The sequence below is a fragment of the Homo sapiens genome, chromosome 16, assembly GCF_000001405.40.
Source record: "Homo sapiens chromosome 16, GRCh38.p14 Primary Assembly".
NCBI lineage: Eukaryota > Metazoa > Chordata > Mammalia > Primates > Hominidae > Homo > Homo sapiens.
The window spans coordinates 5,310,146-5,330,190 of NC_000016.10; the positions used below are offsets into that span (position 1 = coordinate 5,310,146).

Genomic DNA, 20,045 nt, shown 5'->3' on the forward strand with positions numbered 1-20,045 from the left:
CCCAGCACTTTGGGAGGCTGAGGTGGGCGGATCACTCGAGGGCAGGAGTTTGAGACCAGCTGCCTGGCCAACATGGGGAAACCCTGTCTCTACAAAAAATACAAAAATTAGCTGGGCATAGTAGTGCACACCTGTAGTCCCAGATACTCAGGAGGCTGAGGCAGAGAATTGCTTGAACTCAGGAGGAGGAGGTTGCAGTGAGCCGAGATCATGCCACTGTACTCCACCCTGGGTGACAGAGCCAGACTCTGTCTCAAAAAAAAAAAGTATGGACTTTGGAATTAGGCAGGTATGTTAGAATCCCAGCTTCAACATTTTCCAGGTATAGTGAACTCAGGCACAGTATTCAGCATTTCTGAGTCTCTGTTTCCTCATCTGTATATGGAGGAGGGGGTGATAATTGTACCTGTCCAGGTCATTTTGGCTGGGCTAGAGATTCATGGGCAGAGGCTACACCCACATACAATTGTAAGGTTAGAATCGATTCCCAATTTATGAACAACTTGAACAGGAGGGTTAGTGCTCAGCTGGGGTGACACTGTAAACAGTAGGGTCTTGCTAGACCTGAGAAATTAATTTCTTGTTGTGCTGTCATCCATCTTTTCTTTCCTTTATTTTGGAAAAAATACTGGGGTTTGCATTATTTTTCAGAAGGAAAAGTATAGTTTGTACAAATGAAGTACACTCTTTTCTTTAAAATTTTTAAAAATTTCAATAGCTTTTGGAGTCTAAGTGGTTTTTGGTCACCTAGGTGAATTGTGTAGAAGTGAAGTCTGAGATTTTAGTGCACCTATCACCTGAGTAGTGTACAGTGTACCCAGTATGTAGTTTCTTATTCCTCACCCCCACTACCCCTGCTTCTGAGTCTTCATTGTCTGTGATACCACTCTGTATGCCTTTATGTACCCATAGCTTAGATTCCACTTGTAAGTGAGAACATGCAGTATTTGGTTTCCCATTCCTGAGTTACTTCACTTAGAATAATGGCCTCTAGCTCCATCCAAGTTGCTGCAAAAGACATTATTTCATTCTTTTTTATGGCTGAGTAGTATTCCACGGTATGTTTGTATGTATGTACATACATACATATCACATATATCACACACATATACACACACATATATATTAATATCACATTTTCTTTTTTCACTCAGTGGTCAATGGGCACATAGGTTGGTTCCATATCTTTGCAATTGTGAACTGTGCTGCAATAAACATATGTATGCAGGTGTCTTCTTGCTATCATGACTTCTCTTTTGGGTGGGTACCCAGTAGTGGGATTGCTGAATTGAGTGATAGATCTACATTTAGTTCTTTAAGATATCTCCATACTGTTTTCCATAAAGGTTGTAGTAATTTACTTTCCCACCAGCAGTGTATAAGCGTTCTGTTTTCACCACATCCATGCCAACATCTCTTTCTTCTGACTTTTTAATAATAATCATTCTTGCTGGAGTAAGGTGTATCTCATTGTGGTTTTATTTTGCTTTCCCTGATGATGAGTTATGTTGAGAATTTTTTCCTATGTTTGTTGGTCATTTGTATATCTTCTTTTGAGAAATGTCTATTCATGTCATTTGTCCACTTTTCGATGGGATGATGTCTTTTTCTTGCTGATTTCAAATTACACTCTTAGTAGGGAATAATTACAGATGCGTTGGCCTCTTGTTGCTGTCAATCTAGATGCAGCTTCAGCAAGCCCCAGTTGTGCCTGGGAAGTAGCTCTGACATTGTTCCTTCTCTTGACTCCCATGGTCACTTGCTCCTTGTTACGGTGCTGTAATAATCTGTGGGCAAATCCATCCTCCCCAGTAAATCATGAGCCTTGCAAGAGCAAAGGCCATGTTCTATTAATGCCTGAATTTCCCAGTGCTTCAGATAGCACCTAATACCTAGAAGGGGCTCAGGAGGGGCTGCATGAATGAAACCCCATATGTATTATGCAAAGGGTCGGTTTGCTATTTCATTGCATGAGAATAGCCAGGTAGACTTTACTAACATGGAATGCGTGTTTGGGACACTCTGGTCATATATAGGCCATTGTTGTGAGTGAAGCTTACTTCGGGTGAAAGAGGGTCTCTGAAGCACAACTGAGAACATGTAGGGAGGTATCCTCCAGGGCTGTTGAAACTTAGGGCGGAATTTCTCCCAACTGGGAAGACATGTCTTTTTCCTTTTTCTTTTCTTTTTTGAGATGGAGTCTTGCTCTGTCACTCAGGCTGGAGTGCAGTGGCACGTTCGTGGCTCACTGCCACCTCTGCTGCCCGGGTTCAAGTGATTCTCCTGCCTCAGCCTCCTGAGTAGCTGGGATTACAGGTGCCTGCCCGTGACCACTAAATTTTGTGGTTTTTAGTAGAGACGGGGTTTCACCATCTTGGCCAGGCTGGTCTTGAACTCCTGACCTCATGATCCACCTGCCTCAGCCTCCCAAAGTGCTGGGATTACAGGTGTGAGCCACCATGCTTGGTGACATGTCTTAAATTATAGATGATATGGGATCCATTAGGCTCATCTAGGAGTTCTGAGGACACCCAAGAGACAGACAATTCTCAAAAGAAGACATACAAATGACCAACAAACATAGGAAAAAATTCTCAACATCACTCATCACCTATAGTGGCTGATGCTGCAGATGCATGAGGGACCTGTGTGAAGCTTCGTAAGATCCTTGGACAGAGACAACCAAAGAATGTCTTCAGATATGAGCCCAGAATAGAGAGGCGGACACTGCAGATTGCAGGATCTGATTTGCAGTCTTGCTGCCTCTCACATGGTGCCTCTGTTTGGCTTGCTTCAGCATGAGCAGCAGTAGGCGCTTATTTGTTTAATGATGCTTAGTGCCTTTTTTTTCCAGGCACACCACTGAGAATGGCAGGCTCAGTGATGAGATGTAATTCCATTTTGTGCCATGTGCTGTCCTGGGCGCTTTCTGTGAACTGTTTGATTTTGTCTTCACAGCCACCCTGCAAGGTGGATACCGTTGCCCCCACTTTAAAGATGGGAGAAGGAAAGCCCGGGCAGGGATGCTCATTACTCAAAGTCATGCACAGCCTGTTGAAGCAGGGCAAATTGCTCCATTTGCTGCAACCCTTAGGACCTCTAATTCCCCCTCTCCAAAGTCCTCTGGGAGGTCTCAAATCATGGCAGTTGATGAGGAGAGCAAGGACCAGGTGACAAGACAGCTCTAGATATGGCTTTCCCCACAGTGATGTGACTCCTAGCATTAGTGCCATTGCTGTGTCTTTGGGAGGTTAGTCTGGAAGTGGCTTATGTTATTCACCAGGTCCTTTCCTGTAGAACAAACAGGATCATCTACATATGACCTCCTTAATCTGGGACCCATGACTTACAAGAAGACTGTATTAGTCCATATTCATGCTGCTGATAAAGACTTACCCGAGACTGGGAAGAGAAAGAGGTTTAATGGACTTACAGTTCCACATGGCTGGGGAGGCCTCACAGTCACGGTGGAAGGCAAGGAGGAGCAAGGCTATGTCTTACATGGATGGCGGCAGACAAAGAGAGAGAGTTTGTGTAGGGGAACTCCTCTTTTTAAAACCATCAGATCTCCTGAGACTTATTCACTATTGCGAGAACAGCATGAGAAAGACTGGCCCCCATGATTCAGTTACCTCCCACTAGGTCCCTCCCACAACACGTGGGAATGGTGGGAATTACAATCAAAGATGAGATTTGGATTGGGGACACAGCCAAACCATTTCAAAGACTTATGGGTGGGCTTTGGAGGCTGTGGGTGGGTGGGTGGTGATAGCCTGAGCTCCCATGAAATGTATGGGATGTTTTGTGTGTCCTTTCTCTGGGTAAGGTTGTAGCTTCCATCACATTCTCAAGAGGGGTCCAAAGAACAACACGTAATAATAGTAATAAATAATAATAATGATCGCATAATGTGAGCTAACATTTATGCAGCACTTTCCAAGTTTTATCTCATGAGACCCTCTTGACAATCTGATGAGCTGGGTGCTGTATTATCTATCCCCACTTGCATACAAGGAAAAAAATAAGTCACTTGGCCCAGGTCATGCAGTGGGTATTGGATGGAGTTGGAGTCTAAGCTTAGGCAACCCAACTTGCGAATGCATGTATTGCAGACCCAACAGATAACCAGCCTTTGTGTGGATGTGTAGCTGTTGTTTGTTAGGGAAATGTGGAGTGTGGAGAGGGGGAGTGGTAGACCCGTGCCCCATGGCACAGGTGAGCTCTGCCTCTGGAGCTGCTGTGAACAGCCTCTGTCCTTCTCTTGAGGGATCTGGGAGAAGCAGCACCAGGGCTGACCGCTTCACTAGGTGCAGCAGGCACAGTGACTCATGAAAATGCTTTCATTTCTTTTATTTACTCATTTTTTCTTTTTTGAGACTGGATCTCACTCTGTTGCCCAGGCTGGCGTGCAGTGGTGCAATCACAGCTCACTGCGGCCTTGATCTCCTGGGCTGAAGTGATCCTCCTTTCTCAGCCTCCCTAGTAGCTGGGACTACAGGCATGCACCACCATGCCCAGCTAATTTTTTCATTTTTTGTAGAGACACGGTCTTGTTATGTTGCCTAGGCTGGCCTTGAACTTCTAGACTCAAGCAATCCTCCTGCTTTGGCCTCTCAAAGTGCTGAGATTTGAGGCATGAGTCACCACACCTGGCCTCATTTCTTTTAAAACCAGAAGATATTGGAAAAAAAAAAAAAAAGAACTTTCAGGTCAAAGAAAAAACTTCAAGTAGTGATATATATGTCTTTATAACAACACAGACAAAAAATACCGTTTTGAATTTTTTTTAATGGAGGAAAGGAGCCCACAAAAGTGAAAGTGCCCGAGGACCACAGAAGTCATAACGTGACCCTGGAAAGGGCATTGGGGGCCTCTGTGAGATGCCCTTGTGCCAGCTGTTCAGAGGAACCAGTTTATCTGCCTTGGAAATTTATTTTAGTTCTGGAGCCTTATGAATCATGATGGAACCATTTGGAAGACGCATAAAGTGAAATGTACAGATCACGTTGTTGGTGGAGTCTGTGGGCTGATAGGGCAAATGGCTCTGTACCGGAGGGAAGATGCCAGAGAGGAAGGTTCGATGAGGCCCATCTGCTGTGGGACGGGGGAGGAGGCCGTCCGTCTGTCCAGGTGAAATGTCTTAAGTCAAAATTAGCATTTCCATGTTTAATTCCACTATTATTGCCCCACAGGCCACGTAATCACCGGTGATTAAATGGAGACAGGGATGTGCTTAGAATTCATATCTTGCAGGATCTAAATCAACAGTGAAAAAGGGTACTGCTGTGATTTTACTCAGTTCCTGAGTCTGGAGTTTCTTGGAGCAGCTCCCGGGGAACGGGGTCTGCGTAGCTGCACCCCAAGCTGTCTCTGCAGGTGTTTTGAGCTGGGAGGGCTCCCCTTCATTTCAGGGGCCAGGCAAAGAGGCAGGGGACAAGAATCACAATTATGCCTGATGTTTGTGTAGCAGGGACCCTGTTTGTCACGTACAGAAAGTGCGTTTGCAAGGAATTAATTTAAGCCATTTTAAATTTGCTTTGCTGGTGAGTGCTGTGCGTAAGAGCACCAGGAAGGTCATTATGGGAGTCTCAGTCCTGCATTGCTCCCTTCTGAAGGCTGGGAAGAAGGTGAGCTCTTCTCCCTTTGGTGAAGAACACATAGGGTGGGCATGCTGGGATGTCCACCTCTGTGCTCACATTGTCTAGAGCCTGTAGACGCACCCTGATGCCAGAGTATCAGACTCATCATACATTCTCATAGGCCTGTCTTTGGAGAGTCACCTGGTAGCGCATAAGACAGAACTTTTGACAGGTGCCACCTGACCCCTGTGGTCTCAAGTTCCACCTACAGTAGGTCTCCTCCCACTACCAGAGACCTCCCCCGCCCTACTCCTCTCCTTGCTGTCTCTGCTCTCAGCCATACATTGGCTGCTTTTCCGCTCCCAGCAAACCACACTCCCCTGCCACAGGGCCTTTGCATGTGTGGCCTTTTGCCTGGTATTCTCCCACTTTTCCTCCTTTACCTAGTTAACTCGTGTTCATTCTTCACATCTCTAATCGAGCACAACTTCCCTCAGATGCTTTTTGTGACTCAACAGGCTAGGGAAAGATCTGTGCCTTCTCAGATATCCTTATTGCATTTCCTCAAGACACTTGCCTCAGTGTGGCATTGCACCTTCTATAATGTGATGGCCAAGTTTGTCTTTGCTCAACTGTGTGCCTGTGTGTCTAGTGCCCAGCACACTGCCCAGAACATGGGCAGTCTCCAGTGAATAGGTGGAGATGGTTGGCGTGGAGCAGCTTGAGGCCAGAGGCTTCTGAATACTCTCCTCCATTGCTATGAGAACACCCCCTCCACAACGATAAACGTGCTTGATTTCTGACTCTGCCATGTACCAATAACTGGGGGACATTGGGCACATTACTTAGCCACGTTGCTGAGCCTCATTTTTCTCATCTGTAAAAACTAGAATAAGAATACCTACTGTGATTGTTGATTTTGGGTGTCAACTTGACTAATTAGGGGATACCCAGATAGCTGGTGAAGCACTTTGTATTCTAAACCATTGCATTAATTATTCTCAACACACTGAGTCCATCTCTCTTCTGCTGAAAGGGAAACCCAGGTGGTTTGGCATTCACTTAGGATAATTGGGCCGCCGCAGGTGCATCTCTGAGGGTGTTGCTGGAGGAGATTGGCAGGTGAGCCGGTGCACTGAGTGGGGAAGATTCCTCCTTTATATGGGTGGGCAGAGTCCAATTGGCTGGGGTCTCAGAGGAACAAAAAGGTAAAGGAAGGGTGAACTCTTACTATGTCTCTTCTGGAGGAGCTGGGATGCCCATATTTTCCTGCCCTTGGATTTCAGAACTCCAGGTTCTGGAGCCTTTGGGCTCTGGGACTTGCACCGATAGCCTCCTGGGCTCTCAGGCCTTTGGACTTGGACTGAGCCACACTACCATCTTCCCTGGTTTTCCAGCATGTAGACAGCCTGTTGTGAGTCTTCTCAGCCTTTATAAATGAGTGAACCAATTCCCTTAATAAATCCTTTCTTCTCTCTCTCTCTCTCTCAATCTCTCGATATATGTATGTGTATTTTCTATTGGTTCTGTCTCTCTAGACAACCCTGACAAAATCACCTAGTCTGCATATCTACTGTGAAGATTAAATAAAAACACATTCCTGGCCAGGCGCAGTGGCTAATATCTGTAATCCCAGCAGTTTAGGAGGCTGAGGTGGGCTGATCACTTGAGGCCAGGGGTTCAAGCCAGCCTGGCCAACATGGTGAAACCCTGTCTCTACTAAAAATACAAAAAATTAGTTGGGCGTGGTGGCGCACGCCTGCAATCTCAGCTACTTAGGAGACTGAGGAACGAGAATCGCTTGAATCTGGGAGGTGGAGTTTGCAGTGAGCTGAGATCACGCCGTTGCACTCCAGCCTGGGCGAAAGACTGAGACTCTGTCTTGAAGTGAAAAACAAAAAAAAGCGAACAAAAAGAAAAAGAAAAAAGCATCCCTGAAAGTGCCTCATTCAGTGCCTGACAATTACTCAAGAAATGTTTGTTTTCTTTTGTTTCTTCTCGTGATCAGGCATTGCTTTGCGTTTCTTCTTGTAAAATTGTAGTTAAGTATATATAACATAATATTTGCCATTTAAACCATTTTAAGTTTACAATTCAGTGGCGTGAAGCACCTTCATACTGTTGTGTGACAGCTACCACTATTTATTTACAAAATTTTTATCATCTTCCTAAACAGAAACTCTATATCCTAAGCAATAACTTCTCATTTCCCCTGTTCCTAGTGTCTGGTAACCTCTGTTCTACTTTCTGCCTCTAAATGCTGCTGCTGAAGAGGCAGGGGAATGCAGGTGCAGGAAGGGAGCTGTGGGCCTTCAGCATGGAAGTGAAAGAGTGGATGTCTGTAGGTTTGAGTTAAAGTGTCTCCTGCTAAGACACTTTAACAGGTTGTTTACACCTACTGTTTTTTTTTATTATTATTTTTAAGACAGTGTCTCACTGTGTCACCCAGGCTGGAGTGCAGTGACACGATCTCGGCTCACTGCAACCTCCACCTCCCAGGTTCAAGCGATTCTTGTTCCTCAGTATCCCAAGTAGGTGGGATTACAGGCATTCACCACCACACCCGGCTGATTTTTGTATTTTTAGTAGAAATGGGGTTTTGCCATATCGGCCAGGCTGGTCTCAAACTCCTGACCTCAAGTGATGCACCCACCTTGGCCTCCCAAAGGGCTGGGATTACAGGCATAAGCCACCATGCCCAGCACATCTACTGATATCTAATCCAGCCGTTACCCATGAATTTGCCTTCTCATGTTTGCCCACTAAGAGTAAATGATGCCTGTCCCCTCCCTGCACTCTGTGGATTGCTTGGAATTATTGAGTTAGAAATAAGAGCAACCTATTTGCATTGACTTATACCAAAAAAACAAACAAAAAAACAAAACAAAACACTTTATCATATGGAGCCCAGGGTTCCTCCTTGTGGTAGACAGACTTCTAAGATGGTCCCTCAAGATTCTCAGCCCTGATGTGTACACTTTGTCCCAGTTATCCAAACGGTAACTTAGGTACTGCTCTAAAGGGATTTGCAGATATTAAGGTCTCAGTTTGGCTGACCTTAACATAGGGAGATATTCCAGGTGGGCCTGACCTAATTGCGTGAGCCCTTTAAAAGCAGAGAGTTGGGGTTGGGCATGGTGGCTCATGCCTGTAATCCAAGCACTTTGGGAGGCTGAGGCGGGCAGATGATGAGGTTAGGACTTTCAGCCTGGTCAGCATGGTGAAACCCCATCTCTACTAAAAATACAAAAAATTAGCTGGGCATGGTGGCGTGCGCCTGTAGTCCCAGCTACTTGGGAGGCTGAGGCAGGAGAATTGCTTGAACCTGGCAGGTGGAGGTTGCGGTGAGCCGAGATCACGCCACTGCACTCCAGCCTGGGCAACAGAGTAAGACTCTGTCTCAAACAAACAAACAAACAAACAAACAAAAAAACATAAAAAACCAGAGAGTTTTCTCTTATTGCAGAATAGGTCAGAGATTCGAAGCATAAGTACTTGACCCACTTGTGATGGAGAGGGCCATGTGGTAAGGACTATGAGTGACCTGTAGAAGCTGAGAGTGGTCCCTGGCTGATGGATGACTAGGAGCCAAGCATTCACTCCTAAGCTAGTCACTGCCCTTGGAGTTTGCTCTGAATTTGTCTTTGGTTCACAGCCCTGTTCTAGTGGTCTCTGACTGTCTGCCCTCCCACTGGTCTTTTCATTCCCTTCTTTTCCAGCCATAGCCACTCCAGGGCTGTTTTCATCCCTAGAAGATGATCTTCCATCTGGGAGTCTCAGGAGCCATCTCCAAGAATCCTTTACTGAGCGCCAATGTCAGTCTTTGAGCTGGGTGCTAGGGCCCAGGGACAATCCAGGCCACGTGGACCTTGTCTTGGATGGGTTCCCAGCCTGGTGGGGAAAGACTGACCGTTTCAGTGTCATATATTAAGTTCAAAGACAGACTTATTTTATTAGATAGGGAAAGTCACACTAGAGGCTGCAATCACAACTCTAAAATCTCAGTAACTTCCACAATAGAAGTTTGTTGTCCACAAGACAGTTTATGGTAGATGCTGGTTGGATGGCTTTCCACACAGTCATTCAGGGATCCAGGCTCCTTCAACTCTGTGACTACATCATGCTCTGGGTCCTGGTGTTCCCTCCTAGACTCTCTGTATCCACCCAGCAGAGAGGGAAGGAGAGAGTGCAGAAGGTTTTCATGGGTCATCTCTGTGAGGGGCATATATCACATCTTCCAACATTTTGGTGGCCCGGGTGCAGTCACATGGCCTGACCTTACTACAAGGGAGGCTGGGAAATGTAGTTTAGCTATGTGCCCAGGAGGTAAAGCAAGTGGGGTTTGGCAAACACATGGCTGTGTTCTCTTTTTGCCATAGGTGTGCACAGGTCCAATAGGTGTGCCATAGGTATGAACATGTGTTTATGTGCATAGGTGTGCGTGTAACCAGGTTTATGGAGGCACAGAGAAAAATCACTTAGCTCATTCTGGTAGTTGAGAAGGGCTTATGGGAGAAATGGTGCTTGAACTGTATCTTGAAGGAAAAGTAAAATTTAATGAGCTAAGAATGGGTGAGGTCATAACTCTAGACAAAGGTGCAGAGTTGGGAAGTACATGGGTATGGATCAGGGTACTCCAGCATTTGAGCAGGGAGCAGGAGAGATTGTGATGAGTGAGTTTAGCGTTTTGCTGGAGTTTACAAAAGCTCAGAATAGAAAACAGTAAGTCCAAGAACAAGACCCTCGAAGGACTTGGTTTTATTTTACTTAGAAGTCTTTTAGAAGGCTCCGGAGTCTCCATAAAATTCATCAAGTCTCACAGACACAGAGCTGCCATGTTTTCTGCTGCCTGATCTGTGCAATGCATCTTCAGAGAGAAGTTCTCCTAACATGCTTTTGTTCTGAATCTCAGGAGAGGAGAGCTTGTAGAGATGATGTGCTCAGGCAGGTGTAGCCACGGGAATCTTCTTGTGTGACTGATTTTCAGGAGGTGGCTTGGAGTCTGCAGTAGGGTTTCCTGGCCACCCTTGATATCGGGACCACAACTTGAAGCTCCATGGTCTGAGTAGAGAGAGCTGGGGGCTCCAGGGAGTTTCCAGGAAGCCCTAGGCACGAGGGGGTTCTGGGCTGTGTGTGCGCAGCTGAACCCACCATTACATTCTGTCTCCTGCTGTTGCCCCAGGGGCGGCCCTGCCTCTGGCTGACCCTGGCTGTGGGCTGCCCTCTGCCCACAGAACAGCTGTCCTGGGGCTCTTCTGTCTATAGTCAGATGCTTTTATTTCCACGTGTTGCTGCTGCTGGTCCTGAGTTTCTCTTGGACTTAGGTCTCAGGGAAACTGTACTGTTTGCATCCAAGCACTGGAGACTGAATACATTTTAGCTGGACCCAGTTTCCCAAGCTCAGTACTATAGACATTCAGGTCCTGGGCATTGTGGGATGCTGAACAGCATCTCTGGCCTCTCCCCACTAGATGCCAGTAATACCACCAACTAAAAATGTCTCCAGACGTTGAATGTCTCCTGAGGGGTGGGAGTGAGAAGCAAAATTGACACTGGATGATCATTACTGTACTAAAACATGAGATATAAGAGATAACTTTTGTTTTTTTTTTTGAGATGGAGTCTCGCTTTGTCACCCAGGCTGGAGTGCAGTGGCGAAGTCTCAGCTTACTGCCAGCTCCGCCTCCTGGGTTCATGCCATTATCCTGCCTCAGCCTCCCGAGTAGCTGGGACTACAGGCGCCCACCACCATGCCTGGCTAATTTTTTTGTATTTTTAGTAGAGACGGGTTTTCACTGTGTTAGCCAGGATGGTCTCGATCTCCTGACCTCGTGATCCGCCCATGTTGGCGCAAAGTGCTGGGATTACAGGCGTGAGCCACAGCGCCTGGCCAAGAGATCACATTTTTAAAGCCACTAGGTTCTGGGTGGGTGATTCTGCAGTAGATAGGGGAAGTGGTGGTGGCCGTCATGGTCCATCTTCCTCCTTCCACACCTGGGGCTACTGGTGGTGGTTTGAGTAAATGGAAACCTGGATTGCTGGCAACAGAAGAGAATGTGCACGGCGTGTGGCGTCTGTGACTCTCATGACGACCAGAGTCTGGGGAGAAGATTCTGAGCCTGTCTTCATCCAAGGTGACCTCTGTAGCACAGAGCAGGGACCCACACCTTGCTGCACGGCCTTACGGGGCACTGATTGCTCATTGCTCTCTTGCTACCCTGATGTGTCCTTTACAGACTCCCTCTCGTCTCACCTTCAGATCTAACCATCTGTGGTAGATACTAGAGTGTCTCCATCCTACAGATGAAGAAGCTGAGGCTTAGGGGGCTTTAGCATGTTTCACAAGGCCTCAAAAATATAACCGGGACCTGAACCCTGACGCATCTGATTCCAAAGCTCAAGCTCTGAGTCATATTTTCCAGGTCTTGCTTGGCTCTTAACAGAAAGCTACTTGGGTTCCTTCCAGTTCTGGGAGCTTCTGAGAGAAAAACGTAATAAACACAAAACTAGAAGCAATAGAAAGCTTTTAAGTAAGCCCAAGGGTAGATGGCTGAGGATTTCTCAGACTGCCTCTCAGATACATTCCTCACTCAACCTGCCTGCTCCTGGGGCTGGGGGACAGCAGAGATGTTCTAGGAACTGGCTTGTGTGTGTGCACGCCTAGGGGTTTGGGGTAGGATGAGCCTTTTGGTCTGGGTGCTGAGCCGGGTGCCCTGGGCATGGCCAGAGGTGCACTGTTAGCCTCTGTGGCTGCCAGTTTCTCATGATGGCATCCGTCCTTTCTTGGGGATCATCTTCTTTAATCCTCCGGCAAGACTAGGTCTCCAAATCAGATTGAACTGATGTAGGTGTGAGAATCCTCTTGCTCAAGCCCTTTTGTTCTCTTAGAGCAAGGGGACACTGGAGCCCCCAGTCTTCCCCATCCTTCAAGGGTCAGCTCAAATCCCGTGGTTCCTATGACACCTCCCCCAGTAATCTCCTTATGAGTCATGCGACTTCTAATGTATCATTTTCTTTCTCTGACCCACAGTTTACAATGTGAAAAATAGAAGGTTTCAGTGTACCTACCTTATTCTACTTATTTTGAGAGTTAAATGTTATAATGCACTTAGGGCACTTAGCAGAGCAGTAATCACTCACCTGTCATACTGATTGTTTTCAGTGGTTTCTCTTCCGGCATGAATGGGTGGTTTTGTCTCCAGAACTTCTTTTGTCCTCAGAGTCTGAGGTCCTGGGGGCATGGAGTTGTGTAGATGAGTGTGGGCTTCAAAGTCAGACCTGACTCCCCACTCCCTAGCTGGATCTCCTTGGATAAGTCATTCTGCCTCTCTGTGCCTCAGTTTCCTCACCTGCAAAATGCAATGGGAACATCTCCCTGATAAGGATCAAGTGATTTAATGCTTTGAAAATGCTTAGCACAGTCTGGACATATGACAAAGTGCTGTATGCGTACATATTAAGAGAAATGCATTTCTTGCCGACTCAGTACCTATGAGTAAAATGTACAGATGGGTGGAATGTGTGGCTTTCTCACAGTGCTTACCTTTACTATGGGCGATGCACATTCTTTCTTTCCTTTCTCCTCCCCTTCCTCTTTTACCATTTTACCAAAAAGCATGGCTGGTCATGATGACCCAACGAATTGATTTCATGACCCATGAATGGGTCGTGACCCGCAGTTCGAAAAACTCTGCTGCGGTGACCCTGGCCTCCAGCCTTGCTCATGTTAATTACGTGGGTTCTCTGGCATCTGAAACATCTGGCCCTGCATCAGCGGCCTTGCCTCATTGTCTCTGCCCCACTGGGCTCTGCAGATGCATTGCTCTGTGCACCTTTGCTAGCGTCAGATTAATTAGACATTTCAGAAGAGATCGACTTTTAAAGCAATAGCTTCATTAGCATGGATGTGCTGGAAGCTCTGAAAAGTAAAACTTAGTTATTTATATGTTAATAAGCTAACCCGGGCTTCAAAAGCCAGCTGATGAGCTCTGGCATTTCTTGAATTCATCTTCAACAAAACCGATTCCTACACAGCTGTGACGGTTGGCCTTACTGATAGTTCTGTGAACATCTGCCCATCACCAGGGTTCTGTGCCAACTGGCTGAGTGTCCCTGTAACATAGACTGGGGATAAATGGGTTCAGCAGCGTTGTGATGGCAGGGACAATGGGAAATCCCTTAATTAGGAACTGAGTTTTGTAATTCTGACAGAGACGATGTTATTTTTGGTGAGCTGTCATATTACACGTGTATAGTGCTTAATGATTTTGAAAGTGCTTTCCCCTACACTGTCTCAGATGGGCATCACATGAGTCTCTTTTAGTGTTGTGTCTCTTTGCAAAGTGTTTGCCAGTGCTTCTGCCCAGCACCTGCCTCCTCCTAGTGTTGGGGGAGGGGGTGGGGGCTGGATCAGCAGCACGGGCATCACCTGGAAGCTCCTTGGAAATAGAGAATTCTGCTGGGTGCTGTGGCTCATGCCTGTAATCCCAGCACTTGGGGAGGCCAAGGCAGGTGGATCACTTGAAGTCAGGAGTTCGAAACCAGCCCGGCCAACATGGTGAAACCCCATCTCTACTAAAAATGCAAAAATTAGCTGGGCATGGTGGTGCACGCCTGTAATCCCAGCTACTCAGGAGGCTGAGGCAGGAGAATCACTTGAACCCAGGAGGCAGAGGTTGCAGTGAGCCAAGATCACGACACTGCACTCCAGCCTGGGTGACAGAGTGAAACTCTGTCTCAAAATAAAATAAAATACACAATCCTAGCCCTGCCCCAAACCTTATTAGAACCTACATTATCAGTATTCACAATAGCAAAGACATGGAATCAACCTCAGTGCCCATCAGTGGTAGATTGGATAAAGAAAATGTGGTCCATATATACCATGAAATGTTACGCAGCCATACAAAGAACGAAATCATGTCCTTTGCAGGAACATAGATGGAGCTAGAGGCCATTATCCTTAGCAAACTAACACAAGAATAGAAAACCAAATACCACTTGTTCTCACTTATAAGTGGGAGCTAAATGATGAACTCACGGACACATAGAGGGGAACAACTGACATTGGGGCCTCTGGAAGGGTGGAGGGTGGATAATGGGAGGGAAGGAAGAGGGAGAAGATTGGAGAAAATAACTATCATTTACTAGACTTAGTGGTACTACACTGCCAAACCCATTTATCCCCAGTCTTTGTCACAGGGACACTCAGCCAGCTGGCCACAGAACCCTGGTGATGGGCAGGTGTTCCCAGATCTATCAGCAAGATACAGTATTTGGGTGAAATCTGTACAACAAACAGAAGTCTACCTATGTGACAAACCTGCACATGAGCCGCTAAACTTAAAAGTTAAAAAAAGTACCTGCATTGGAACAGGTGGTTTACACACTCACTGACGCTTAAGAAGCGCTGCTCTACAACACCTTCCCTTTCTCTCCCTCCTGTGTGCTTGGCCCTTCTTCTCTTCCTCTTTTCTCTCTTCCCCTTCCCTCTTCTTGTCTCCTCCCTGTTTGTCACCTCTTTTTTCCTTTCCCCAACTACTTGTAATAGCTGCAGGTTTACAGGCATGGCTCTGACACATGGAAACACGAGACTCACTTGTCCTTTGTATCTGCATTTACTTTTCTTTGACAAGATCCTATTCCTGCACAGTTGTGTGAAAACTAAATTTAGTTCAATCCAGTAAATTTTCTACCACATTTGTTTTTAATTTTATTTTTAAATTAACGTACAGTAAAATTGCCGTTTTTTGGATGTACGGTTCTATGAATTTTAACACATATATAGATTTGCATATCTATCACTATAGTCAGGGTAAAGAACAGCTCCATCCACCCCCAAACACTACCCTGTGATAGCCCTCTGAAGTCATATCCTGCCCCACTGATGATCCACTCATCTGTTCTTTGTCCCTATAGTTTTGTTTTTTCAAGAATGTCCTATAAATGAAACCATGTAGTATGCAACCTTTTCAGACTAGCTGCTTTCCTTTAGTGTAATGTCTTGAGCATCACACAAGTGGTTGTGTGTACCAATAGTTAGTCCCTTTAGACTAGTATTCCATTGTATGGATATACTGCAGTTTGTTTATCCATTCACCCTCTGAGGGATATTTGAGTTTGTTTTCCGTTTTTGGCAATTTGAAATAGAGCTTCTGTACACATTCATGAACAGGTTTTTGTTTAAACATAAGTTTTCATTTCTTAAGGGTAAATACCTAGAAATGGAAATGCTAGGTCCTATTGTGCTTACTGGAGTATTTACGTGTCTTTAAACAGCTTGGCATTATATAATTTAGCTTACATACTTATATAAGAGTTTGGCATCAGAGTTTTTACACTCCCGTCAGACAGCAGTGTATGAGAGTTCCAGTTGCTCCACATCCTTGTCAGCACTTGGTATCGTCAGCATTTTTAATTTAGCCATTCTGATAGGCATGTCCTAGGATCTTGTAACCTGTTTAACCTTTTCTATTTTGCAATACTTACCCTCCTTCTATAGGTGGGATATTGTAAATTCAGAGAGCCAATGTGGCTAGCAGAGCCTCAAACTAACAGCTTTCGGATGTATGTGGGAGCCAGGTAATTCTCCCCACCAAACAGACTCAGAGGTTTACTCAAAGGTCATGTGAGCACCAAAAAATAATAAAATACATGTCCAAGTCCCCTTCTACTATTTTGAGCCCCATCCATACACTTGAGGCTGGGGAGAGTTCAGGAGAACAGTGTTTCTGTTGCATTCATTTGCTCAATAATAACCTCTTCTGAGCTCTGGCATTTCAGATAGGCTGTGACCAGAGTGTGTGTGCCCTGGTACGATGCACTCCCTGCCCATTCTAGACTTCATTATCACAGAACATGGAAAGCAGATGTTCTTCATTTTTCCTAGCTAGATTTCAGAGGGCTGTGACTCATCCAAGATCTGTAGGCATCTTTATTTAGCAGAGGTTATCCGTTCCAATTAAAAAGAGAAACATTTTTAAGCGGTGGCTGTTAATTCAAAACCTGGCAGCCTTGATGATGATGATGTCTGGCAATGAATGGAGGAGGGAACATATCAGAAAGCCTTCTGCCTGCTAGGCACTATCTGCTAATTCCATTTTAATATCAGACGTCCAAATGATTGATATTATATCTCAGCAGAAAGCCCAGCACGAGCTCAGGATATTAATTCATTAATTCATTTGTCCAATATCGAGCCAGGCACTGTCCTAGGAACTGAGGGTAAACAGCAAACAAAACACAAACATCCGTTCTTTGTAAAGCAGAAGTTCTGCTTCAGGGAGGTATTGATCATTAGATTTTGTTAGAAAGCCAGAAAATGCTATGGGAAAAGTAAAGTAGAACAAGGAGATCGGTAGTTCTGACCGAGGAGCTGAATACTTATTATTTATGGAACAACTGGGAATGGCAGTTTCTGAGTGATCATTGAATAGGTTTTCACCTGGAGATTCCAAAAATTTGGTGTGTAGATCCCCTGCATCAAAATGCCGTGGAGACCTGTGAAACTGGCCAGACCCTGCACCAATCTGCTGAATGGGACCCTGCCCCATGTCCCTGCCTCTCTATTGAGTCTGTATCCCTGGAGAGAAGCCTTGGGGAATCTGTGTAGCCCACAAACTTCCCTGGTAATTGTGAAGCACCCTGAAGTTTAAGGACCACTCTCTTAAGAATGCAAGTTTAAAATAGGATGCATGCTTTCAGTCCCAGGAAATGATCAAAATCGTCTAAAACTGGGTCCAATTAAAAGCGTGTTCACTCGTTCAAGTCTTGACACTGCCTGACTTTGAAACTTGCAAATGTTAACTTTGCAGCAGCTGCTGCTTAATTTTAGCCCTCAGAGAGAAACGCCCCAATCTGCACAATAGGTTTCTGGTACCCTGGTTGGCAAACATCCTCCCCTACTTCCCCACTACATGCCAAGGGCCAGAGCTTCCTAACTTTGGAAACAGAATGTAGCAGCATCCCCCTCCCCGATTCCCTGGCCTCAGCAGTGAGCTGCCCTACTTTGCAAAATGAGAGTCTCTTACCTCATTAAGCCAAGCGAAAATGAATTACACAAAGATAATTTTCCTGTTAGTACCCCTTGTAAAGCCACCAGCAGACTCATCCATAGTTAAAACATCTCTTTGTAAGCTGAATGGTTCTGTGGTCTGGGAGGGATGGGAAGTAAGGCTTAAAAATGGTTGTATCCCTTTCTGGCTTTCCATATTGTTTCTCTGATTATTTCTACGAGTGAGGAGAATCCCAGGAGAAAAGGAGAGGTATTTTGGAAGAGCTGAAGACCCCGTGTAGTGACTGAAAGTCCTAAAACAAATGCAGCCCCCATGTTGCTTAGGAGTCCAGGCACCAGGAGACGTGGATTTCTTGGGCAAAATGAAAGCCCTTTTGTGCCTGTTATGGGCTGAATTGTGTCCCTGCAAATTCATATGTTGAAGCCCTAACTACCAGTACCTCTGAATATGACTTACTTGGAGATGGAACTTGTAAAGAAGCAATTAAGTTAAATAAGGCTTTTAAAGGGGCCCCTAATCCAATCTGATCAGCGTTTTTATAAGAGGGGATTTTGACACACGAAGAGACTGCAAGGATGCATGCATAGAGGAAAGGCTGTCTGCAAGCCAGGAGACGCTCTGACCTTAGAAAAAAATCAAATCTACCAACACGTTGATCTGGGACTTCTAGCCTACAGAATTGTGAGGAAGTACATTTCTGTAATTTAAGCCACCTAGTCTGTGTGATTTTGTTATGCTTGCCCTAGCAAACTGATGGAATGCCTTCAAGAATAACTCAGCCTCGATGACAAAGCATTGCTAATGTCCCAGACACAGAGGCAGAGCTTCTTCTGGGTCATTTGAGTCAATGAAACATACCTTTTATGAGGTCCACCAAGCCCCATGCCTGTCTGCACGTGGAAGATCTAATGAGATGCTCTCCAGCCCTGCCATACCCTTTTTGGTCCCAGCCTCCTGCGGAGCTGCCAGTGGACCATTTAAGCCCACCCCCTGGACACAGCTGATTGGCCCAAAAGTGGCCATCCGATTCAAGCTCAGCCAATCAGATTTTTACATGCAAGAATCAGCCACGAGAATGTGAAATTCACAAAGAGAAGGGAGAACTCATGGCCCCAGACAGGGAAATTAACCATTAGGCTGCCTTGATTCCGGGTCCTACCCAGTTCCTGAGTACCCTTGATGCTATTCCTACCCTTAGTTTCCAGGAGATGCTTCCGAATACTTTATTTCTCATAAATCTGTCTCTTGGTCTAAGCTAGCTTATTAATATTATTTAATAACAACAGCTAAAATGTAGCCAGGCACCATGCTGAAAGTTTTACATATATTGTTTTATTTGATTCTCACGAATCCCATGGAGTAGTTTCCGTTATTATTTCCATTTATAAATGGAAACTGAAGTTCACAAAGGTTATGTAACTAAAGTTGAAAACCGTATTAGTTTGTTCTTGCACTGCTTTAAAGAAATACCTGACACTGGGTAATTTATTAAGAAAAGAGGTTTAATTGTCTCATGGTTCCACAGGCTGTACAGGAAGCATGACTGGGGAGACCTCGAGAAACTTACAGTCATGGTGGAAGGTGAAGGGGAAGCAGACATGTCTTCACATGGCCAGAGCAGGAGGAGAGGAGAAAGGGGAAGGGACTACCCACTTTTAAATAACCAGATCTCACAATAACTCACTCCGTATGACAAGAACAGCACCAAAGGGGAAATCTGCCCCCATGATCCAGTCAGCTCCCACCAGGCCCCACCTCCAACACTGGGGATTACAATTTGACATGAGATTTGGGTGGGGACACAGACCCGAACCATATCAAAAACTGAGGTCCGAAAAACTTACATAATTTATTCAAGTTTACTGTCTTAGTCTGTTTGGACTGTTATAACAAAATAACATTAATTAGTTAGCTTATAAACAATAGAAATTCATTTCTCAGTTCTGGCAGCTGTGAAGTCCAAGATCAAGACATATGTGGGCCGGGCGCGGTGGCTTACGCCTGTAATCCCAGCACTTTGGGAGGCTGAGGCGGGTGGATCAGGAGGTCAGGAGATCGAGACCATCCTGGCTAACATGGTGAAACCCCGTCTCTACTAAAAAAGTCCAAAAATATTAGCCAGGTGTGATGGCAGGCACCTGTAGTGATGTGATGTGATGGCGTGAATCCGGGAGGTGGAGCTTGCAGTGAGCTGAGTTCATGCCACTGCACTCCAGCCTGGGTGACAGAGCGAGACTCTGTCTCAAAAAAAAAAAAAAAAAAAAAGACCGATGCGGTGTCTGATGAGTGCCTTCTTGCCGTGTCCTCACATGGTACAAGGGACCCGTGAACTCTCTGAGGCTTCTTTTGGAAGGACATTGATCTCATTCATGAGATCTAATTATTTCCTAGGGGCCACACCTCCAAATACCATCGCTTTCTGGGTTGCAATTTCAACATACACATTTTGGGG

At 45.6% G+C, this 20,045-nt stretch overlaps 1 protein-coding gene across 4 annotated transcripts in view, besides 1 other annotated feature; it reads left to right on the forward strand.

The window, feature by feature from the left end:
* Nucleotides 1-20,045, forward strand: part of RBFOX1 (RNA binding fox-1 homolog 1) — a 2,473,620-nt gene that overhangs the window by 70,425 nt on the left and 2,383,150 nt on the right. The gene's annotated exons all lie outside the window — the stretch shown is intronic.
* Nucleotides 11,538-12,737: an enhancer, noted in NCBI's record as "CDK7 strongly-dependent group 2 enhancer chr16:5371684-5372883 (GRCh37/hg19 assembly coordinates)". NCBI's record gives its function as "activates an origin of replication core promoter dependent on BRD2, BRD4, P300/CBP, MED14 and CDK7 cofactors, with strong dependence on CDK7, by STARR-seq in HCT116 cells {active_cell/tissue: HCT116}" and the evidence as "EXISTENCE:reporter gene assay evidence [ECO:0000049][PMID:35650434]".